Source organism: Homo sapiens, chromosome 17 (assembly GCF_000001405.40).
Source record: "Homo sapiens chromosome 17, GRCh38.p14 Primary Assembly".
In the NCBI taxonomy this organism is placed as follows: domain Eukaryota; kingdom Metazoa; phylum Chordata; class Mammalia; order Primates; family Hominidae; genus Homo; species Homo sapiens.
Window position 1 is genome coordinate 60557346 of NC_000017.11, and position 6679 is coordinate 60564024.

A 6679-nucleotide genomic window follows, 5' to 3' on the forward strand; every position below is an offset into this window, starting at 1 on the left:
CTCTCTGGCTGCCTAGGTAAATTGCCATTTCAAAGAGAGTCAAGCATACTAGTGTAAAATTGTGATCCTTTTCCCCTAAAACAGGAAACACTGCTCCACTGTCTTTTTGTATCTATTGCTGCATATGAGAAAACATGAAAAGTTATGAGTTTCTTTTTATCTTTGGAATATGGAAAAGTCACCAGACTCACTTGGAATTATCTTCAATTCCTCTCTTTCTCACACCCCACCACCTTCTACCTATCAGTAAATCTTGTTAGTTCTACCTTCAAGATGGAGTTCAGGCATGGTGGCTCACACCTGTAATACCTAACTTTGGGATGCCAAGGTGGGAGGATCACCTGAGCCCAGGATTTTGAGACCAGCCTGGGCAACATGGTGAGACCCCCATCTTATATAGCTGAAAGAACACTCAAGGGGCCATAGGCAGGTGAAAGATGGTTTCATTCAGCAGCTCTCTTACACTGTCTGTCTCTGTCTCAGCTACCTGTTCTGGCTCTGTGACTCCTGCCACTCCCACACACAGCTGCAAAGCCAGCTGTCTCTACAGGGTCAGAAGCTTAACACTTTCTCTCTCTGGGCAAGAGCATGCCTGTACAACATCAGCAGGGCAGTTATACCTTTTACAGACAATAGTGGCTCCAAGCCAAGTGATGAGCCTTCCCATGTTATGCCTATGTAGCTGTGATTATATAACAAGCAAAGTTATGCACCTGCACTCCAAACTTGCTGAGTCATGTGGGATGTTTACCTTGGCCCATGCCTGCCTCGCTGCATTGCAGCCATGTTCCTTACACAGGAGGATCCCTTGAGCCCGGGAGTTTGAGGTCAGCCCAGGGAACATAGCAACAGCCTGTCTCTAAAAAAAAAAAAAAAAAAAAAGTAAAATATTTTTAAAATTTAGGAAGCTGCCAGGGATGGCTCCTCCAAAATAAGGAGTAAACCAAGCAGGAGGAAAAATATGACACAAAATGAAGGGTACAACCAAAAGAGTGGTATAAAGTAAACCACTAGGATGGTTGTAAAGGGAGATACCAATGAGACAGTGGTATAGGCCTAGAGAGGAACCAATACAGATTGGAGCAGGCCAGAAGGGTCTGGAAGAGATTTCCAAAGAAAGATTCAATTAATAGATTATGATTGCTAGAAAAACACTTGTTAGATCCTGGTGTCTGGGTCCAGCCATGCTGAAGTCTGAGGGGAGTGGGTGGATGAGCAGAAAGAACACTTGATGGGCTGTAGGCAGGTGAATATGGTTTTATTTAGCAGCAGCTCTCTTACACGGTTTACTCAAACTAGCTCTTTTACATTGTCCACCCTGTCTCAACTGCTTAGTCTGGTGGCTCCCACATACACCTGTGCAGCAGGCTTTCCCTTGCCTTCAGGGTCAGCAGCTTAACTCTTTTTCTCTCTGGGCATGAGCAAGCCAAGCTGTGTCCTGGCTCCCTCCTGTCCATCTGTAAAATGGACAGCTTTGGCTCTCTCTGTCTCTCTTTCTCTGGGTGCCAGTGCATCCCCCATGTCAAGCCATGTTGAGCCGAGCCAAGCCCCCAGGTCCCCCGTACAGCATTAACAGGGCAGACAATAGTGGCTCAGAGCCAAGTATGAACTTAACACAAACAAGTTATATAACAAGTGAAGGTGTGCGCCTGCGCACCAAACTCACTGAGTTACGCAGGCCTTGGATATCCACCTCGGCCTGTTCCTTGACCAAAGCACATCCATATGTACCTTACACTCCACCCCCTAGGCCAAACGAGACATATGCCTTGGACACACAGGTTTGATCCACAGGTTTGGCATACAGGCCTGACATATAAACTTTGGGCATGCAGGCCCAATACATACACAGGCTTGACACATAAGCCTGACACACAAGCCTTGGGCACACAAGCCCGATACATACATAAGCTTCTGGGTACGCAGGCCCCTTGCATACATAAGCTATGATAAACTGCCCAGCTACTGGCGCAGATTACCTTAGGTGTCACCTCCTTGGTGATTACCATTCACACTGCCTTGAGTTTAGCTTATTAACCACTTTGCCCATACCTGCTTTCAAACCATATGATGTCAGTACTAGCCTGGACTGCACCAGCAGTCCAGGCAGCAGTAGCACCCCAGCTGGACCCACTTGTACACGATACCCTATTAGGAATGGGGGGGTGTGCTTCCTAATGGTGAAGGCTTAGGTCTAGGGGTGCCTCAGGCCTCATGGCCTCATCTTGCATTAGGACTACTACTCAGGAGGCTGAGGCAGGAGAATTGCTTGAACCCAGGTGGCGGAGGTCGCAGGGAGCTGAGATCGTGCCCTGCACTCCAGCCTGGGCGACAGAGCAAGACTCCATCTCAAAAAAAAAAAAAAAAAAGAAAAAGAAAAAAGAAAAAGTCCATTGTTGCCCTCCCATGAAGGCAAACTGTTCCTGGCTCTCTGGACAAGAAGTCCCAGTTCCGTTGTCAAGCGGTCGGCAAGTCCGTGACAGACAATACAGCTGCCAAGCCGTGCAAAACATCCACCCCCAGAATGTCTTCAGGTATGTGAGACACATACACAGTGCATAAGTGGAGAGCCAAGCAGCGGATGCCAAGATGCAAAGACACAGGTTTTACTTTCACTGACCAACTTTCATAGCTGTTCATGCGGCTCTGCCCGGAAACTTATCCGGGTTCAGAGACCAGTGGATTGCCAAATCCACATGTGGCTCTGGTTTTCCAGTGCCCCGCAAGCCGGCACCTTGGCCAGTTCTCTTATCAAGCAGAAAAGGCTTTACACTTCCGCCAACTGCAGCAGGTACTCTTTGAACTGGAATGCTCGAGTAGGACTAGGTTGCGCAGCAATGTCCTTCTCCCGAATGACTTGCACTAAGTCTGTACACAACTGGCGACATTAGTTGCTTAACTCCCTCAATTCAGCGGGGACACAGGCACCATAGGAAATGTGTTCCACCACGATGGGGGGTCTCTGGGCCTCCTCTTGGGGCCCAACAGCTGTTCATGCTCTATTTTCTGACGGACTACCGGGCAAGCCTGCAACGGAGGTTCCTCCTCCCTGCGCTGCATCCTGCAGGGATTGGGCATTCATTTCCCTCAGCATAGTCGCAAATGCCCATCTGACTCTGCTGGCAAAGGTATGTTCCTTTCAATGCTGTGCATTTCCAGGTGATTCAGCGCCTTCTCCACACTCATAGGGGATCTGTACACTGCCTCCCATGTTTCCACTGGGGCTCATCCAAGCAGCACCACTGCGACCGGGTACCACAGCTCATGCTGCGGCCACGTAGCCGTCCCGGGAGCCCTCAGGGGCTGAAGACCCACTCACCTCCTTCCATCCTCGTCGCCAGTTGTTAGATCCTGGGGTCTGGGTCCAGCCCATGCTGAAGTCTAAGGGCAGTAGGTGGATGAGCAGAAAGAACACTGGGTGGCCGGCCATAGGCAGGTGAATTTGGTTCTATTTAGCAGCAGCTGTCTTACACAGCTTACTCAAACTAGCTCTTTTAGACTGTCCACCCTGTCTTGGCTGCTTAGTCCGGCGACTCCCACACACACCTGTGTGGCCAGCTCTCCCTTGCCTTTAGGGTCAGCAGCTTAACTCTTTTTCTCTCTGGACACGAGCAAGCTGAACTGCGTCATGGCTCCCTCCTATCAGTCTGCAAGACAGACAGCTTTGGCTCTCTCTCTCTTTGGGCGTCAACACACGCTCCATGTCAAGCCATATTGAGCCGAGCCCAGAGCCCCTGTATAGCGTTAGCAGGGCAATTATACCTTTTTCAGACAATAGTGGCTCAGAGCCAAGTATGAACTTACACCAAAAGGTTATATAACAAGTGGAGATGTGCGCTTGTGCGCCAAACTCACTGAGTTATGCAGGCCTGGATATCCACCTGGGCCTATCGACCAAAGCATATCCATATACCTTACACCACTGTTTTGAATGTATCAAGAGCAGATTTATATAACTGGAGTAAGTTTGGGGTTAAATTAATAATAAATAATTTAAAAGCCAGATAAATGAACAAACAATAACCCCAGGAAAGACAAAAATGTAAAAGGGAAAGTAATCATACTATAATATTAGCATGGATAAAAATAGCATTTTTCGGCTGGGTGTGGTGGCTCATGCCTATAATCCCAACGCTTTAGGAGGCCGAGGCCAGTGGATCACCTGAGGTCAAGAGTTCGAGACTAGCCTGGCCAACATGGTGAAACCCCATCTCTAGTAAAAAAAAAAAAAATACATAAATTAGCTGTGGTGGCAGGTGCCTGTAATCCCAGATACTCAGGAGGCTGAGGCAGGAGAATCGCTTGAACCCTGGAGGTGGAGGTTGCAGTGAGCCGAGATCATGCCATTGCACTCCAGCCTGGGTGACAAGAGCAAAATTCCGTCTAAAAAAAAAAAACAGCATTTTTTACTTCTCCTTCCTGCCACTTTGTGAAGAAGTTGCTTTGCTTCTCCTTTGCCTTCCACCATGATTAAGCTAGGAGAGGATATGCCTGCACAACATGGCAGATTATCAATGGGGGACCTGAGAAACTGAAGTTCTATACACATCAGGGGCTGAGAGGATGCTCCAGGTGATGGTGAAGTAAGCTCCAGCAGGACAAGTGGAGCATGGAGTATACCTTCAATTAGAAAGCCAAAACAATGTGAACTGTTGAAAACTGCTGTCACTGATTCTCTCCAAGCTGAGGGAATACGCAAGGTCCCTGCCTCCCACGAAAAGCCGCTCTTAATATTCATCCAGCAGGATTGTATGGAAATCAAGAAATCCAAAAGGGCTGTGAAATATTGATGTTCTGTTCAGTTTCAAGACCTCTGAAATGCAAAGTGATATGTACACTAAACACACAAGAAAATGCAAATACCTTTATAACACTTTTCTCATAGTTCTATTTTCATCCCTATTGGAAGCAAGTCGTTAACATTCATTTTATCGTAAATATAATGGCAATGAATTTTAATGTGCACAAATTAAAATATTTTATAAATTTTAAAAATAGCATTTTACATTATTCAACTTATGGAACTATTTGACTCTAGATTATATGATTGTATAACCTGAAAAAACTAATTATAAAATATTTTATATCATTCAATTTAGGGTATTAGATAAAAAAATTAACTCATAGTGACTAAGCTGGTTAATTATTGCCCTTAAATGGATATTAAAAGCGAATTTTTCTCTTTGATAAAGTAACTAGCAAATGATTAAATGTTGTGAAAGTGTTTCCTGGTGTATGGATTCACTGAATTCCTTTGACCCACTTAAACAGAACATGTGACATTCATGAAATAGTAACTTAATAGCTTTAAAACAGCTGTTCTGTAGCTCCAAATTAATTTAGCTTTTCTCTCTCAACATGTCTACTTTATGAGAAAAAAGCGTGAGAAATGAGTTGTTCTTTTGCTTTCAGGCCCTGTCCTACCATGAGCTGAAGAGGCAGCAACATACGTGTTTGGAGTTTAGTAGGGACTGAGAAGCGGGGAAAAGAACTGCCTAACCAAAGGTATTGTTTCCACCTGACTTCCAAGATGTCAGAAAATTCTCCCTAGTAGATACTCTTTTATACATGGACATTAGCTATTGTTGTTAAAATGAAAACAGGTTAAACCTATTACGTTATCATCACCTATCAATAATTTAGACTATCAGCTTATCAGATTTATTAGTCTTGTAGTGAAATCCTGTTGTTAAACAGCACAGAAACAGGAGAGAAGAAAGAATTGTCTAAGTCTGCACTGTCCAACAGAAATATAATATGAGCCATATAAGTTGAAATTTTCTAGCAATTAGCAAGTAAAAAGAAACAGGTGAATTTTTTTCTTTTTTTCACTTCCTCCTCTTCCAAGGTGAAATTATTTTTAATAACATATTTTTGTTAACCCAATATATCTAAAACATTTTCAAACATAAATCAATATAAAATTATTAAAGAGATATTTTGCATTCTTTTTCTGTACTGTCTTTGAAATCCAGTGTATGTTTTACACTTACAGCACATCTTAATTTGAACTAGACACATTTGAAGTTCTTAATAGTCACATGTGGCTACCATATTGGACAAGCAGGTCTAAGTCAGTGGTTCCCAAAATGTGGTCCCTGGAGCAGCAGGATAAGCATCACCCTAAAACTTGTTAGAAATACAAATTCTCAGGCTCCACCCCAGACCTACTGAATCAGAAACTCTGATAGTTGGGCTCAGCAACCTGTGGTTTAACAAGCCTTTCAGGTGATTCTGATAACATGTTAAATGTCACAATCAGCAGTCTAAATTATGGGGAACTGGTTTTTCTTTGCTAAGTACATTTAACAGGGTTCAAAATTCAAAAAGTACAAAAACATACACAGTGAAAATCTTCCTTTCCTGCCAGGCACAAACCATCTATCTCCCTTTCCTAGAGGCAACCAAAATTTTATGTTGGTAGGCAGCTGTCATGCTGGACCCCTATTGACTTCAACAGCAATGGCACCATGTTTGAGAGGCTGAAGACGAGATGCAGAGCCAGTGAATGAGACACAGGGTTTGTTTAATTAATTTATTTACTTTTTGAGACAGGGTCTCGCTCTGTCACCCAGGCTGGAATACAGTGGTGTAATCATGACTCACTGCAGTCTCAACCACCTGGACACAAGCAATCCTCCTGCCTCAGACTCCTGAGTAGCTGGGACTACAGGCATTA

At 44.4% G+C, this 6679-nt stretch overlaps 1 annotated feature.

Annotated features, from left to right (window-relative positions):
- Positions 630–830: a silencer, noted in NCBI's record as "peak2927 fragment used in MPRA reporter construct". NCBI's record gives its function as "represses an SCP1 promoter by STARR-seq MPRAs in K562 erythroleukemia cells {active_cell/tissue: K562}" and the evidence as "EXISTENCE:reporter gene assay evidence [ECO:0000049][PMID:32103011]".